The sequence below is a fragment of the Homo sapiens genome, chromosome 19 (genome assembly GCF_000001405.40).
Source record: "Homo sapiens chromosome 19, GRCh38.p14 Primary Assembly".
In the NCBI taxonomy this organism is placed as follows: domain Eukaryota; kingdom Metazoa; phylum Chordata; class Mammalia; order Primates; family Hominidae; genus Homo; species Homo sapiens.
Genome location: NC_000019.10, coordinates 50,431,929 through 50,448,560, shown reverse-complemented (window position 1 = coordinate 50,448,560; position 16,632 = coordinate 50,431,929). Strand labels below are relative to the sequence as shown.

Genomic DNA, 16,632 nt, shown 5'->3' with positions numbered 1-16,632 from the left:
GGAGGCGGAGGTTGCAGTGAGCTGAGATCGCGCCATTGCACTCTAGCCTGGGCAACAAGAGCAAAACTCCATCTCAAAAAAAAAAATAAATGGGGGACAGCTTGTTACACAGCTAAAGCTAACTGCTATGCACACCCTACCCCCAGCCACTTCTGCAGCCCACTCCTCACCTGCCTACATGGGAAATGGTGATCCTCTTGCTGGGCCGCACCTCGACCCCATTCTTATACCACTTGCCCGTCACTTTCTCATCAGACACCTCGCACTTGAACACAGCTTGTTCTGAGGCCTTCACCGTCAGATCCGCGATGTCCTGCAGGACCTCCAGCTGTTTCTCTGGTCAGGGAGAGAAAGACAAGGAGCCGTCACTACTCTAGTCAGTGCACAGACACTTGTGAGCACCCACTGTGTGCCAGGCGCTGGTCTAGGCACTGGGGATACCAGCCACAGACAACCCAGAAACAACCCGTTGGCCTCGGGAAGCTCCCATGCTAGTGGGAGACAGTGAAGAAAGAAACAGAGGAGGGAGCGAGGAGGCCTGAGGGAGGCAGGGAGGAATCTACCAGAAGATGAAAAAAAGCCTCCCAGGTAGAGGGACCAGCGTGTGCAAAGGCCCTGAGGTGGCCGGGCACAGTGGTTCACGCCTGTAATCCCAGCACTTTGGGGATTTTATTTATTTTATTTTATTTATTTATTTTTTTTTGAGATGGAGTTTCACTCTTGTCGCCCAGGCTGGACTGCAATGGCGTGATTTTGGCTCACTGAAAACTCCACCCCCCGGGTACAAGTGATACTCCTGCCTCAGCCTCCCAAGTAGCTGGGATTACTAGCATGCACCACCACGCCTGGCTAATTTTGTATTTTTAGTAGAGATGGGGTTTCACCATGTTGACCAGGCTGGTCTTGAACTCCTGACCTCAGGTGATCCACCCGCTTTGGCCTCCCGAAGTGCTGGGATTACAGGAGTGAGCCACTAAGCCCGGCCTGATGTTTTTATACAGACGGGGTCTTGCCATGTTGCCTAGGCCGGCCTTGAACTTCTGGACTCAATTTACCCTCCCACCTCGGCCTCACAAAGAGTTGGAATGGCAGGGCTGAGCCACCATGCCCAGTCTAAAACATTCTCTTTTTTTATGGCTAGATATGGAAATACCATCATTTGTTTGACCCATAACTGACTTGAGTTCGTTGTTTTTTACTTTTTATATTTACAGAATTATAGACCCCTAGAGCTTGCAAAAATAGCACATAGAGTCCCGTGTGCTCTTCATCCAGCCTCCCCCACTGGTGACATCGTACATAATGGAGTCCAGTATCCAAACCAGGACACTGACATGGACCCAGTACTGTTACTCAGACCACAGACCTGTTTCTTTTCACCATCTCACTTATGTTTTACGAGGCTCACTCTGGCGGGTACTGGGGGGTGGAGGTCAAGGGGCAGGTATAGACACAGAGTGACCAGAGAGGAGACAACTGCACCAGTCCAGGCATGAGGGAAGGAAGGCCTGGGCCAGGCGGGGGCAGCAACAGGGGGGCTGTGGTTGGTTTCAGATTTTTTTTTTTTTTTTTTTAAGACGGAGTCTTGCTCTGTCACCCAGGCTGGAGCACAGTGGCACAATCTCGGCTCACTGCAACCTCTGCCTCCTGGATTCTAGCAATTCGCCTGCCTCAGACTCCTGAGTGGCTGGGATTACAGGTGTGTGCCACCATGCTCGGCTAATTTTTTTTTTTTTTTTTTTGAGACAGAGTCTTACTCTGTTGCCCAGGCTGGAGTGCAGTGTGCAATCTCGGCTCACCACAACCTCCACCTCCTGGGTTCAAGCGATTCTCCTGCCTCAGCCTCCCGAGTAGCTGTGATTACAGGTGCACGCCACCACACCCAGCTAATTTTTGTATTCTTAGTAGAGATGGGTTTTCGCCATGTTGGCCAGGCTGGTCTCGAACTCCCGACCTCAAGTGATCCGCCCACCTTGGTCTCTCAAAGTGCTGGGATTACAGGTGTGAGCCACCGCGCCCAGGTTTGTTTTTGTTTTTGTTTTTGTTTTAAGACAGAGTCTTGCTCTGTTGCCCAGGCTGGAGTGCAGTGGAGCAATCTCAGCTCATTGCAACCTCCGCCTCCTGGGTTCAAGCAATTCTCCTGCCTCAGCCTCCTGAGTAGCTGGGACTACAGGTGCACGCCGCAATGCCCAGCTAATTTTTTTGTATTTTTAGTAGAGATGGGGTTTCACCATGTTGGCCAGGCTGGTCTCGAACTCCTAAGCTCAAGTGATCCACCCGCCTCGGCCTCCCAAAGTGCTGGGATTACAGGCGTGAGCCACCACGCTTGGCTGGATCCAAAATTTACTTTGAAGCTGGAGCCATCAGATCTCCCTGGTGGGCTGAACATAGGGTGTGTGGGAAAGAGAGGAGTCAGGAACAACTTCCAGACTGGGGGGCCTGAGCAACCTCAAGCTGTGTGGAGAAGCATGCGCAGTGCAGCCCGTGCCCTACCTGGAGGCCCCATACCTTCCACAATCAGCTCGGCCTCACACTGGCCGCCATTGGTTATGACCTGATAGCGACCCCTGTCCTCCTGGACCACGTCTGAGAAGATGAGGATGTGGCGCTTCCCGTCCTTCTTGAAGCGGTACCGGGCCTTGAAGGAATCCTCCCGAGTCAGTTCCACACCATCTTTCATCCTAGGTGGGTGAGACACAGAACGGGATGTGAGGAGACAGCACAGCTCTCGGTCTGGGTCTTGGAGAGTCAGTCGGGGGCCCATGCAGAGGGATCAGAAGGCAGGTCCCCGGAGGGAGGAGACATAATGAGTGGCAGAGGCATCTTGAGTGGTGGACGGGTCACAGGTCAGGTGAAGGGGAGAGAGAGGGCCAGGCACGCTGGCTCATGCCTGTAATCCCAGCCCTTTGGGAGGCTGAGGTGTGTGGATCACCTGAGGTCAGGAGTTCGAGACCAACCTGGCCAACATGGTGAAAACCCACCTCTAATAAAAAATAAAAAATTAGGCAGGTGTGGTGGTGGGCACCTATAATCCCAGCTATTCAGGAGGCTAAGGCAGGAGAATTGCTTGAATCCGGGAGGCAGAGGTTGAGGTGAGCCAAGATCACGCAATTGCACTCCAGCCTGGGTGACAGAGTGAGACTCTGTCTCAAAAAAAAAAAAAAAAGGCAGTGAGGAGAGAGAGGAGGAAGTCACAGGCCACACACAGTTAATTGTCTCAAGGTACCAAGGTATTGGCTGGAAGTCAGGGGACACAAAAAGATGTCATGGGGAGAGGTCCGCACAGAGGAAGCCCTGGGGTCTCAGAGAAACATCAAACGTTGTGGCCTCTGTCAGTGGTTTTCCCTGTCCAGGGCACTCTCCCCTTCTCTCTTCACTTATACCTCCATGTCATTCAGATCTCAGCTCAATTGTCATCTCCTCCAGGAAGACTTCCCTGACCTCCTGAGTCCCTTCCTCCTAGGAAGCTATTACAACATCCATTACTGCTCCTTTCAAGCCAGTCTCAAAATGGAACTTTTATATGTATGTATGTGATGACTTGACTAATGCCTATCTCTTTCTCCTACACAAACACACATACACACACACCACCACCACCACTATCACCAAATTAGCAGATTATAAATGCCATGAAGGCAGGTACCATGTTGACATTTTTTTTTTTTTTTTTTTTTTTTTGAGACGGAGTCTCGCTGTGTCTCCCAGGTTGGAGTGCAGTGGCGCGATCTCGGCTCACTGCAAGCTCCGCCTCCCAGGTTCATGCCATTCTCCTGCCTCAGCCTCCCAAGTAGCTGGGACTACAGGCGCCCGCCAACACGCCCGGCTAATTTTTTGTATTTTTAGTAGAAACGGGGTTTCACCGTGTTAGCCAAGATGGTCTCGATCTCCTGACCTCGTGATCCGCCCGTCTCGGCCTCCCAAAGTGCTAGGATTACAGGCGTGAGCCACCGCGCCCGGCCATGTTGACATTTTTTTTCTCCCCATTATATCTCTGATACGTAGAAGAGTACACCACACAACAGGTGCTCGATAAATATTTGTTGGGTTGGTGAATAGGTACATAGATGGATGAATGGATAGGTAGATGGTGGGCAAGTATGCAGGTGAGTGAGTGAGTGGATGGATAGATCTCTGGATTGATAGGTCGATGGATGGCTAGATGGCAACCTAAATGGAAGAGTGGATATATGAATGAGTAGATGGATGAATGGGTCAATGGGATGGATGGATGGATGGATGGATGGATGGATGGATGGATGGATGGATGAATGGATGGACAGATGGTTAAGTAGATGGATGGATGGTTAAGTGGATGGATGGATGGATGGATGGATGAGTGGATGGATGGATGCATGAGTGGATGGATGGTTAAGCAGATGGATGGATGGATGGATGGATGGATGGATGGATGGATGGATGGATGGACTGGGTGGATGAGTGGATACCTGGATAGATGGACCAAGGAATAGATAATTGGTCAGATGAATGAATATTTAATGGAACAGTCGGAGATCAGGAAGACGACCCTGAAGAGGATAGGATAGGTAGAGGTCAGAAATTCTAGAAACAATTTTAGGTGAAGGTAAGGATTTATAGAGAAAAGCTGAGATCTCCTGGGGATGACTACTGAGTAAAGGTCAGAAATCTCCAAGAGAAGTCACAGGAGGTCCCATAAAGATCAAGGCAGAGGCAAAGAAACTATGTGCACCTGTATGGAGATCAGGGATCAAGGGTCACTTACCACATCACCTGGGCACCCTCTTCTGACACCTCCACTGCCATTTCCACCCGGTCACCCACAAACACCTGCTGGTCCTCAAGAGGTGTGACAATTAGGACTGGAGGTTCTGTGGGGCAGGGGGACAGGAGGTCAGTCGTTTCAGGACCCCCTCCAGAGTTCCAGTCCCTCTCCAGGCTCAGTTCTGAATTCCAGCCTCACCTTTGACGAAGAGCTCGGTGAAACACTTCTCATCCTTGACAGCTACTTCATAGGCAGCGTCATCCGCCAGCGTGCACTTGTTGATGGTAAGAATTCGCTTCTTACCAACGTTCTCAAACACGTACCTGATTCAAAAGTCTCACCTCAAACCAGGGCGTGGAGCATCCACCTATCCCTGGGGTAGCTCTGCTTACCTGTTCTCAAGGCAAGTCTCTCTCTCTCTCTCTCAGAGCCAAATTGTGTGGAAAGGGATTGAGGGCCCAGTTTCAATTATTTATTTATTTTTATTTACTTTTGAGACAGGGTCTCACTCTGTCACCCAGGCTAGAGTGCAGTGGTGCGATCACAGCTCACTGCAACCTAGACTTCCTGGGTCCAAGCCATCCTCCCACCTCAGCCCCTGAGTAGCTAGGATCACAGGTGCACACCACCATACCCAGCTAATTTTTTTTTCTCTTTTCTTGGTATCTTCTAATTTTTTAATTTTTTTGTAGAGATGGGATCTCGCTATGTTGTCCAAGCTAGCAATTCCTATTATTTAAATAACCATGGCAGGGCCAGTCACACCTGTAATCCTAGCATTTTTGGAGTCTGAGGCAGGCAGATTGCTTGAAGAGGTCAAGACCAGCCTGGGCAACATGGTAAAACCCCATCTCTACCAAAAATACACCCCAAAAATTAGATGTGTTGGGGCGCTCCTGTCATCCCAGCTACTTGGGAGGCTGAGGCAGGAGAATCTCTTGAACCTGGGAGGCAGAGGTTGCAGTGAACTGAGATCATGCCATTGCACTCCAGCCTGGGCAACAAGAGCGAAACTCTGTCTCAAAACAAAATTAGGTAATTAATTTAAAAAAGGTTGTCTTGTGATGTGTTTGTTGTTGTTGTTGTTAACAGGGTCTCACTCTGTCGCCCAGGCTGGAGTGCAGTGGCGAGATCTCAGCTCACCGCAACCGCAACCTCTTGCCTCCTGGGTTCAAGCGATCCTCCTGCCTCAGCCTCCCAAGTAGCTGGGATTACAGGCACTACAGACATGTGCCACCACACCCGGCTAATTTTTTGTATTTTTAGTAGAAATGGGGTTTCACCATGTTAGCCAGGCTGGTCTCGAACCCCTGACCTTAGGTGATCCACCCGCCTCGGCCTCCCAAAGTGCTAGGATTACAGGCGTGAGCCACTGTGCCCGGCCTGTACTCTTCATATAGGGGTGAATATGCCCTTTCTGGTTAAGAGTGATAGGCCTTGTCTCCGGGCGTTCTCTCTGGACGGGGATCTCCCCGGTGCAGGGACTGCCCACCCCACACATACTTGCTGCTTGGTTTGATCTCCTGGCCGTTCTTGAACCACTTGAGGGTCAGGTCTGGGTCGCTGATCTCTACCATCAACTTGATCTTGTTGCCTCTGTCCACTTGGTAGGCTGGATCCAGCTTCTTTGTGAATGCTGAAGATTGAGGCATGCAAAGGGGATGGAGGCGTGTGGTCCTCATTCCCCTGGTCATCCCCAGAGGCACCACATCTCCCTCCCCAGGCCCTGGGCTCTCCAAGGTCAAAGTGAGGAAGTCAGGGGGCCTCCTATGAACTTAGAGATCCTTGAGAACTTCTCTGGTGGTGATGCAGGGCAGGGGACCCCAAAGTGGGGCTTAGCCTGCAAGGGTTATCGGCTTCACCCAGGAAAGAAGTCAAGGGCAAGCCAGTGTTAGGTAGAAGAAAACAGCTTTATTTTTATTTATTTATTTTATTTTATTTTATTTTATTTTATTTTTTATTTTATTTTATTTTTTTGAGACAGAGTCTCACTCTGTTCCCCAGGCTGGAGTGCCACAGCGTAATCTCAGCTCACCACAACCTCTGCCTCCCTGGCTTAAGCGATTCTCCTGCCTCAGCCTCCCAAGTTGCTGGGATTACAGGTGCACACCACCATGCCCGGCTGACTTTTGTATTTTTAGTAGAGATGGGGTTTCACCATGTTAGCCAGGCTGGTCTCGAACTCCTGACGTCAGGTGATCTGCGCACCTCAGCCTCCCAAAGTGCTGAGATTACAGGCGTGAGCCACTGCACCCAGCCTGAAAACAGCTTTATTGAGGTGGCAGTGTTACAGCCCTCTGACTGCTCCTGCGGAACAGGGCTACCCCAGAGACAGAGAGCAACGGCTCAGGGCAGATCTGCAGTCAGATTGATACCCACTTTTAATTACCTAGAGATTAAGGAGCAGGTTATACAGAAATTGCTAGGAAAAGGGTGGTAACTTTTGGGTGGTCTGGTCATTGCCATGGAAAGGGGCAGTAACTCCTGGCTGTTGCCATGGCCATGGTAAACTGACATGGCACACTGGTGGGCATGTCTTATGGAAAGCTGCTTCCACCCTGTCCCTGTTTTAGCTAGTCCTCAATTTGGTCTGGTGTCCGAGGCCCACCGCTAGAGTTGGGTCTTGCCTCCTACCTCATTGGGACCTCGAAAAGATAGGTCCAGGGTCCAATCATTAGACACCCACAAGGCTAGGGGTCCCTTGTGTGCAGGGCCCAGCTCCCCCCAGACCAGGGCTGACCTGCACTCTTCTTGACCTCGACCTTAGCCTTTTTCAGCCGCTTCAGCATGCCCCGGAGGTCGGTGATGCCATACTGGAAGGCGATTTTCTCGTACTCGCTCTTCTTTGCCCCTTTCAGGAGCTCCCAAATCTCCGGGGGGATGCCTAGGTCATCGTCATCTTTCTTTTTCTTCTTCTTCTCCTCCTCCACCACCTCCCTGGCGGGTGGGGGAACGGACAGGGGCCATCAGGGAGTGAGGAAGGGAGGATGTCCCTCTGCCTTCTTCACTCATTGGCTCTGTGACTCACCCAAGCCACCTTCCCTTTAGGGGTCTTATTGTTTCCCGCCTGGTCCATTGCCCCAGCCTCCTCCTGGGGTCTTCTGACCTCTTCCCAGCACAGTCCCCACTGGGTTTTTTGGTTTTTTTTTTTTTTGAGACAGATTCTCACTCTGTCTCCCAGGCTGGAGTGCAGTGGCGTGATCTCGGCTCACTACAACCTCCACCTCCTGGGTTCAGGCGATTCTTCTGCCTCAGCCTCCCGAGTAGCTGGGACTACAGGCTCACGCCACCACCCCTGGCTAATTTTTGTATTTTAGTAGAAACAGGGTTTTGCCATGTTGGACAGGCTGGTCTCGAATTCCTGACCTTAAGTGATCCACCCGCCTCAGCCTCCCAAAGTGCTGGGATTACAGGTGTGAGCCACCATGCCTGGTCCGCAGAGTATTTCTTTTCATTTATTTATTTATTTATTTATTTATTTATTTATTTATTTTATTTCCACAGGTTATTGGGAAACAGGTGGTGTTTGGTTACATGAGTAAGCTGTTTGGTAGTGATTTGTGAGATTTTGGTACACCCATCACCCAAGCAGCATACATTGCACCCTATTTGTCCTCTTTTATCCTGTGGGGTATTTCTGACACCCACATCAGTGGTTCTCCCTTTCATGTTCAGAACTCTTCTGTGGCTCCCCACTGCCCTCAGGAGGAAGCCCCAGCCCTCCGCCTGGCCATCACACCCCAGCTACTTCCGTCACTCCCCCCAAAGTCACCTGAACCAAGCTGCTTGACTTTTGCTGAACACTTCAGGCTCTCTCCTGCTTCCCAGCCTTTGCACAAAATGTTTCCCTACCTTCATGACCTCTCCCTACCTTCTCTTCCTCCCAGACTCCTCTTCATCCTACAAGACCTAGCACCAAAGTTCCCTTCTCCCTGAGGCATTCCGTGTCCTACAAGACAGTGAGTTGCTCGTGCTCTGGGCTCTCACAGGCCCCGGTGGGACCCTCTCTAAAATCACACCAAATAGTCTCAGTCTGTATCTATGTCTGTTGGACAAGACCCATTTCCCAAGGCAATGAGTGATCTCACATCAGGGACCCAGTCAGACTGTTCTCTCTCCCTGGATCTCAGCCCAGGACCTAGTAGACGGGAGGCCTCAGAAGATGGTTGATGGGTGAGAGAGTGAGTGAATGCATGGATCTCAGCCCAGGACCTAGTAGACGGGAGGCCTCAGAAGATGGTTGATGGGTGAGAGAGTGAGTGAATGCATGGATCTCAGCCCAGGACCTAGTAGACGGGAGGCCTCAGAAGATGGTTGATGGGTGAGAGAGTGAGTGAATGCATGGATGGAGCTTGGGAGGGAAGGAAGGAAGGGAAAGGAACAAAGAGAGGATAGATGTGGAGGTGAATGTGGGGACATGAATATTTGAATTGATGTACAGAATGGTGAGTAAGTGGGCTGATAAGTAGGTGGGTGGGTCAGTGGAAGGGTGGGTGGGAAGAGAGGCAGATGAGTTGGGGGAAGACAGGTGGGTGGGTGGATGGATTGATGGGTTGGGGGAAGACGGGTGAGTGGATGGATTGATGGGTTGGGGGAAGACAGGTGGGTGGGTGGATGGATTGATGGGTTGGGGGAAGACAGGTGGGTGGGTGGATGGATTGATGGGTTGGGGGAAGACAGGTGGGTGGGTGGATGGATTGATGGGTTGGGGGAAGACAGGTGGGTGAGTGGATGGATTGATGGGTTGGTGAGAAATGACTGCGCAGTTGGGTGAATATGTTGATGAGAAGTGGCCAAGGAAGTGGCTGGCTGGCTGCAGACAGAATTGATCAGTAAATGGAATTGTCAGGGATATAGTTATGGGGATTGATGGGCAAGTGAAGATGGATAAGTGGGCCAGCAGATAATGCATATGAGATTGCCGATATTTAATTTTTTGTGGTTGTTGTTTTTGAAACAGTCTCACTCTGTTGCCCAGACTGGAGTGCAGTGGCGCGATCATGGCTCACTGCAGCCTTGATCTCCTGGGCTCAAACGATCCTCCTCCCTCAGCCTCCTAAGTAGTTAGGACCACAGACACATGCCACCATGCCCTGCTAATTTTTCTTTTTTTTGTAGAGTCAGGGTCTCCCTATGTGGCCCAGGCTGGTCTTACACTCCTGGGCTCATGTGATCTTCCCACACTGGTCTCCAAAAGTGCTGGGATTATAGGCGTGAACCACTGCACCCAGACTTCAATCATTTTTTACCTGCAGAACATCAATTTTACATAGTTCAATCTAACAGAGGGCTATCTGTGTGGATGGGCGTGTCAACTGCCCACCTCTTCACTGGTGAACTCAGCCACCTATTCATGAACCCATCCATTCATCGTCCACCCACCCCATCCATCCATCCGCTTCCCCACCTACTGAGGCACCCATCCTCCCACCTCTCCACCATGCATTCATCCGTACCATCCACCCACCTTCCCACCTGTCTATCTGCACCTGCATCTCCCAACCAAATCCAACATCCCATTCACCCGTTATCCATCCACCTACCCATGTAGCTAGGCTGACTGTAATGGCAGATGGGCAGGTAAACAGGTGGGAAAATGGTGGTTAACGGATGGATATGTGGGTAGATAGATTGGCAACTGGGCAGGTAGGTGGATAGATGTATTAGTAGATACATAAATAGGCCACTGGTTGGATGGATGGGTGAGTGAATGGATCAGTGGGTGGAAAGTGGAGGGATGGAGGGATGGATGGATGGGAGGGTGAGTAGGTGGAGGCATAGGTGAACTAGAGCCTGAGTGAACAGCAGAGTGGGTGTGAGAATGGTGGGTTAAGGGGTGAGAAGGTGGGTGAACTCATGGCAGATGTTTGGCTGGGTGGGGTTGTGGGTAGGGGTCTGGGTAAATGGGTAGGTGGGTGGATGAACAGGCAGCCTGATGGGTTGGTGTGTTAGATGCTGGGTGGGCAGGGAGTGAACAGATGGAGGTGGTAGAGGGATAAGCAGTGGGTCCAGGAGGAATCAGTGGGCCATGGAGCTTCACCCACCACCTCCTCCCCTTGAGTCCCATCTCCCCTCTCTGTGCCAAGTCCGGGGCTCACCTCTTCTTCAACAGGCCACTGAAATCCAGCTCACCTGCAGTATCCGACTTCTTTTCACTCCTGTGGCCATTGAGAGGGCATGTGAGTCTTGACCCTTCAGATTCACCCCTTGCCTTCCCCAATCCTCCCTTTTTCCCCTTCCAAGGGAGAGCCTCCCATGGTCCTTGGGACCCTGGTAAGGGCCTGGGGTCACTTACGTACGCTTGAAGCTTTCTAGACTCTGCCCAGAGGCATCCTGACGGGGTGCTGGGGAGAGGTGATGAGAGAAGGGAAGGTGAGTTAGAGGCCAGGGCTGATCTTAGACTGAGAGCCCCTCTCCAGGCCTGCACAACCTCTTCCAGGCCCCCTTTTCTCCATCTCTTGGACCAGCACAACCTTGCTCAGGCCTGGGCATCCTCTAGTTCTAGACCAGCTCATACTCATTTCCCCAGCTGCCAAGCTCCACCCTCTCTCAGCAGCCTATACCCCCCACACCTGGGCCACCATGTCTTTCTCCCCAGGCCTGGACAATCTCATTTCCTGTGCACCCCACATTTAAGCCCTCACACATTCTGGGCTGCAGACCCCCAGAGCCCATACACCCTCAGGGGCCCATATATGTGCCCTCAAATCCGTGTAACCTCCTGTTAATCCTGTACACCCTCACTCTAAACCCCTACATCCTTCTTCTCTAAACCTGGACACCCTCACTTCCCAAGCCGTTTTGCCTACTTTCTTAAACGTGGAATGTGCATAACTCACCTCCTAAGCCTTTGCATGTGCATCCCAAGACCCTGTACACTTTCACCCCCGAAATCCAGACCTCCTCCCATGCTATGTCTCCTTGAGTTTGAATACTCTGACCCCAGAATCTGCACTCCCTCCTCCAAAAACCTGTGCCCACCTCATGCCCATGCCTGTGCACTCTCCCAACACCTGGCTGGTACATCTGTCCACCCCACCCAGACATAGAACCCTTTGCTCCCGCATCCCCCACCAGCATACCCTCCACATCGATGTTGAAGCCACAGCTGTCACAGGTGTCCTTGGCTTTGACCTCGAGGCGGTAATACCCACGGTCCCCCAGTACCACCTTCCCAATGTGCAGCTCCACGGTGTACACCTGGGTCCAGGGCCGGGGGTGTGGGTGCACGGGACCACCCTCTAGAGCCACCCCATATTCCTCAGAGTCCACTCATAGCTCTATCTCCACGTCCTCACCCCCACCCCACAGGGGGGCCAATGGAGACCGAGAGGGGTCTCAGCACCTGGTGGCCAGCTCTGTCTCCTCATATCTGACCCATCAGGACTTCTGGGGCCCAGGTCCCTGGCCCCCTCAGGCCTTGCCAGGAATGTACATGACCAAGCCCTAATGCATCCCCACCCAACCCCAGGCATCCTCCCTCTGCTTCACACAACCTCTCCCCAGCAGCCCCGCACAACCTCCATCCTCAGAGGGCCCACTCTCCATCCCGGCTCCAGGCCCACATTGATGCCTCAGGCAACAGGGCTTCTGAGGAGCATGTCCTGCACAAGCTCCACTCCCCTCCACCAGCCCTCTGGCCCACGGGGTCCTCACATTGCTGGCGGAGTTGTGGGACTCCTTGAAGGAGAAGCGGGCGCCACTCTTGCTGCCCAGCTCCAGCCACTTCCCCTTGAACCACTTGATGGTCGGTTTGTCTGGGAGCTCCTTCCCGTTCACCTTGGCCACGACCACTGCGTCCTTCCCTACATGGGGTGAGTGACAGGGTAGAGTGGGAGGAGGCCCAGGAAGGAACATAAGGCTCTCCAGAGGGAGACAGAACGAGACCCTGGCCCCTCCTCCCTCAGACCCAGGAGTCCGGGCCGCAGCCCCTCCTCCCCCGGGTTCCCCTCACCAGTCTCCACTGAGACGGAGTCCGGCTTCTTCAGGAAAACGCCGGTGGGCTCCTCTGCAGTCGGGGACTGGTCCTCGGGTGGGGCTTCTGTTCAGGGGACAGGATTAGGATGAGGAGGTCTGAGATAGGCTGGGGAGGGGACAGTGGGCCGCTTTGGGGAAAGGACTTAGAGACAGTGAGGGCCCCTCTACTCAGAAACCAAACATCATGGGGGTTAAATGGCTTTTCCTGACCTGGGAAAGGCCACCTGTCACCCTCGTGGCTGTGTGACCTTGGCCAGGCTCCCTCACCCCTTTGGGCCTCGGTTTCCTCATCTGTGGACTGGAGGGCACTGAATGTGCCTTTGGGGCGGGAGAGGTTTAGAGAGACCGGGGCCGGACCTGGTGATCAATCAGCCAGCTGACCGGAGCCGATGCCAGCCGAGGGGCTGGGCTCTGCCTGCGGGTGCCAGGGAGCCCCGGGAGGGCTGGGAGCACGGGAGGCGTGGGTCAGCCCTGGGGCTGTGCGGGGACAGATTCAAGGATAGAGGCTGGGGAAAGGCCTGGAGAGGCGTAGCGAGGAGGATGGAGATGAGAAGCCAGGTCGGTTGAGCCCGAGGGAGCACCTCCTCACCTTTGGGGGCCTCTGCAGGAGCCTCCTTAGGGGGAGCCTCCTTGGGGGCTCCTTTGGGGGCATCTTTGCCTTTGGGGGCCTTTTTGGCCGCTGTAAGGTAGGGGACAGTCATAGTTGAGCATGCGGTCTGCACACCCATGCCCCTCCCTCAGACGCAGGAGTCCAGACCCCCCAGCCCCTCCTCCCTCAGACCCAGGAGTCCAGGCCCCCAGCCCCTCCTCCCTCAGACCCAGGAGTCCAGGCCCCCAGCCCCTCCTCCCTCAGACCCAAGAGTCCAGGCCCCCACCCTAGGTATAAATTTATCTCAGATCTGAGAGTCTGTGGGATCGGGTTTCCCTTACCCCCAGCAGGCCCTGCCCCATCCGCCCAGGCCACCACGCCCTGACCTTTTGGGTCCGAGGGTATAATTAGCTCTCCCTCTGGGCTGGAAACTGGACACCTGGTGCTGACCGCAGCATCCTTCCCCTGCCCTGCCTGCTGTTCCTTGCCGGCTGGGTCTGCAGCTACAGTAGGGGCTGGACCCACCCCACAGCCTGCTTGGCCTGATGCCAGCGGACCAGACATCCCAGGAGGGGGTCCGCCCAGCGGTGCATGATTCCTGCGGTGAGTTCCTCATAGAGAGAAAGCCTCATCTCCACAGAAAGTGTTCCCCATTCAAAGAAGGTCCCCAAACCCCGCAAAAAGGACCCCATTCCCTGCATGAAGAAGCCCCGCTAATTCCTACACGGGGAAGCCTCAGTGCCCACAGAAATGAGGCTCCCCCATCCTTAATACAGAGACTTCCCCTGTGACTCCATGCAGATGGGAACCACTAATCTTTATACCCACAATCACCCCATATCCTACAGAGAAGGTCCCTTGGAATCTATTTTTTGTTTTTGTTTCTGTTTTTTCCCAGCAGGGTCTCGCTCCGTCTCCCAGGCTGGAGTGCAGTGGCAAGATTTGGGCTCACTGCAACCTCCGTCTCCTGGGCTCAAGTGATCCTCTCACCTCAGACTCCTGAGTAGCTGGGACTACAGGCACACCCCCACAAGCCCAGCTAATTTAGTATTTTTTGTAGTGACGGGGTTTTGCCATGTTGGCCAGGCTGGCCTTGAACTGCTGGGCTCAGGTGATCCACCCACCTTGGCCTCCCAAGGTGCTGGGACTACAGGTATGAGCCACCGCACTGGGCCATTTTTGTTGTTGCTGTTGCTTGTTTTTTAGAGACGGGGTCTCACTCTGTCACCCAGGCTGGAGTGCAGTGACGTGATCACAGCTCACTGCAGCCTCAACTGCCTCCTAAGTATCTGGGACTACAGGCATGCACCACCACACCTGGCTGATTTTTAATTTTTTGTAGAGACAAGGTCTCGCCATGTTGCCCAGGCTGGTCTTGAACTCCTGGCCTCAAGCAATCCTCCTGCCTCGGTATCCCAGAGTGCTGGGATGACAGGCGTGAGCCCCTGCACCTGGCTCCCTCTGAGTCTTCACTCAGAGAAGTGGCCCAGACCCTGCCCAGAGGATGCCATCCCCGGATGTGGAGAATCCAGTCACATGCAAAGACCTCCCAGTCTGGCCGGGCTCGGCGGCTCATGCCTGTCATCCCAGCACTTTGGGAGGCTGAGGCGGGTGGATCACCTGAGGTTGGGGGTTTGAGACCAGCCTGGTCAACATGGCGAAACCCGTCTCTATTAAAAATACAAAAATAGCCAGGCATGGTGGCGCAGGCCTGTAATCCCAGCTACCCCAGGCAGGAGAATTGTTTGAACTCAGGAGGCGGATGTTGTAGTGAGCCGAGATCGCACCAATGCAGTCCAGCCCCGGGGGCAGAGCGAGACTCCATCTCAAAAAAAAAACCAAAAACCAAAAAACAAAAACAAACAAAAAAACCCAGTCTACACACACAGACCCCCATCCCCATCAAGCAAAAGGAACCCAATTTACAACCAGAGAATCCCATCTCCACCAGAGATGCCCCCCCAATCACTTATAGAAAAAGAAACACCCTCCCTGCTGAGTGAAGGGGATCCCTCACCCCACACAGATATGAGACCCACCCCATCTCATACAAGGAAGGAAACTCCTGTCACAAAGGGAAGGGACCCTCTTCCCCATGCAGAGTCGAGACCCTCACCCTAAACTGATGCGGGAACCCCCATCCCGCACAGCAAAGGGAGCCTCCTCCTCACACAGCGAAGGTTCCTCCTTCTCCCAACCCTACAAACAGAGGGGTCCCAAATCCCCATCCAGAAAAGAAGAGCCCCATCCCCACACAGGGAGGGGGTCCTGGCGCCACCTGGTTTTGCCTCAGGCATGTCGGGGGACCTCCTCCTGCTCCTCTGACCGCAGCCGCGTCCCGCTAGGCCCTAGGGAGGACAGGTGGGCCCCTAAGGGGAGCCTTTTAATGAGTCCTGAGACTCCCAGAAGGCTCCGGGAGACATCAGACCACAGGGCCGCCCCACATTCCGCCCGCATGTTCTAAAGGGCGAGAAATAACAGCTGGACCTAGGGAGATGGCTGAGAGCCAGGTCCCCAGGGAGGAGGGGCTGGGGCTCGGACACCTGGGTCTGAGGGAGGAGGGGGCTGGGGCTCGGACTCCAGAATCTCAGGGAGGAGGGGACTGGGTGCTTGGACCCCTGAGTCTGGGAGCAGAAGCAACTGGGGTCCCAGATTCTTGGGTTCCCTAGAAAGGACGAGCGCCTGGACGCCTGGGTCCCGGGAGAAGGAAGAGGAAGAGACTGAGGGTCTCAAGGGGGTAAGGGCTGCGGGCCAGAGCTCTGGCATGAAGCAGGGAGGGGAGGGACAGGGTCTAGGAAGCCATTCTTAGCATCTGCAAGTCAGGAGTTTTCGGGAAACCGGAGCCGGGAGGGAGGGTCCGGTTTCCTAGCGTAGGCAGGACGGCGGCGGGGGGAGGAGGTCCCTGCGCCTCCGGGGAGGGCGCCGCGGCTCTGGGACTCCGGAGTTTCGCGCCCCGGGCGTGGGCAAACCCAAAGAGCTGGGGCCCCGGCCATCTGGGACCCCGGACTGGCCGCCGCCCCTCCTGGGACCGCTCCCCGCGACTCTTCCCGGAGCGGGCACGGCAGGCACCGGACGCGGGTAGGGGGTGGGCGTCCCCGGTGGGGGCGGGTGGGAGGCTGGGAAGGCCCTGGAGGGCTGCCCGGACGTTGGCGCCCTTCCCGGCAGGGGGACCTGTGACTTTCTGAATGGGGTGGCTCTGGACGCGGCGGGGAGCCGAGGGGGCGGGGCCTGGGGAGGGGCGGGGCTTGGGGACACCAGGTGTTGTGGGGAGGAAGGAGGGAAAGGGTGTTGGGGACTTAGGGTTAAGGCTGGGGGACTGCCT

General features: G+C 54.2%; 1 protein-coding gene across 1 annotated transcript in view, besides 4 other annotated features; it reads right to left on the bottom strand.

Moving 5' to 3' along the window:
- The window catches only part of MYBPC2 (myosin binding protein C2), a 33,430-nt gene extending 17,761 nt beyond the window's left edge, over nucleotides 1-15,669 (bottom strand). The window contains exons 1-13 of the mRNA NM_004533.4: nucleotides 15,589-15,669; nucleotides 13,311-13,400; nucleotides 12,699-12,785; nucleotides 12,401-12,549; nucleotides 11,827-11,944; nucleotides 11,040-11,088; nucleotides 10,843-10,902; nucleotides 7,485-7,681; nucleotides 6,248-6,380; nucleotides 4,943-5,067; nucleotides 4,745-4,850; nucleotides 2,509-2,681; nucleotides 171-336 (exon numbers count right to left, since the gene is read on the bottom strand). Coding sequence (NP_004524.3) covers nucleotides 171-336; nucleotides 2,509-2,681; nucleotides 4,745-4,850; nucleotides 4,943-5,067; nucleotides 6,248-6,380; nucleotides 7,485-7,681; nucleotides 10,843-10,902; nucleotides 11,040-11,088; nucleotides 11,827-11,944; nucleotides 12,401-12,549; nucleotides 12,699-12,785; nucleotides 13,311-13,400; nucleotides 15,589-15,607 — 1,472 coding nt within the window. The 5' untranslated portion in view covers nucleotides 15,608-15,669. The remainder of the gene's footprint in view (nucleotides 1-170; nucleotides 337-2,508; nucleotides 2,682-4,744; nucleotides 4,851-4,942; nucleotides 5,068-6,247; nucleotides 6,381-7,484; nucleotides 7,682-10,842; nucleotides 10,903-11,039; nucleotides 11,089-11,826; nucleotides 11,945-12,400; nucleotides 12,550-12,698; nucleotides 12,786-13,310; nucleotides 13,401-15,588) is intronic.
- Nucleotides 13,790-14,290: an enhancer, noted in NCBI's record as "H3K4me1 hESC enhancer chr19:50937528-50938028 (GRCh37/hg19 assembly coordinates)". NCBI's record gives its function as "activates a minimal SCP1, AML or CMV promoter by ChIP-STARR-seq in primed H9 embryonic stem cells {active_cell/tissue: H9 hESC(primed)}" and the evidence as "EXISTENCE:reporter gene assay evidence [ECO:0000049][PMID:30033119]".
- Nucleotides 15,105-15,863: an enhancer, noted in NCBI's record as "H3K27ac-H3K4me1 hESC enhancer chr19:50935955-50936713 (GRCh37/hg19 assembly coordinates)". NCBI's record gives its function as "activates a minimal SCP1, AML or CMV promoter by ChIP-STARR-seq in naive H9 embryonic stem cells {active_cell/tissue: H9 hESC(naive)}" and the evidence as "EXISTENCE:reporter gene assay evidence [ECO:0000049][PMID:30033119]".
- Nucleotides 16,213-16,432: a silencer, noted in NCBI's record as "silent region_10968". NCBI's record gives its function as "represses an Ori minimal core promoter by ATAC-STARR-seq in GM12878 lymphoblastoid cells {active_cell/tissue: GM12878}" and the evidence as "EXISTENCE:reporter gene assay evidence [ECO:0000049][PMID:35858748]".
- Nucleotides 16,463-16,552: a silencer, noted in NCBI's record as "silent region_10967". NCBI's record gives its function as "represses an Ori minimal core promoter by ATAC-STARR-seq in GM12878 lymphoblastoid cells {active_cell/tissue: GM12878}" and the evidence as "EXISTENCE:reporter gene assay evidence [ECO:0000049][PMID:35858748]".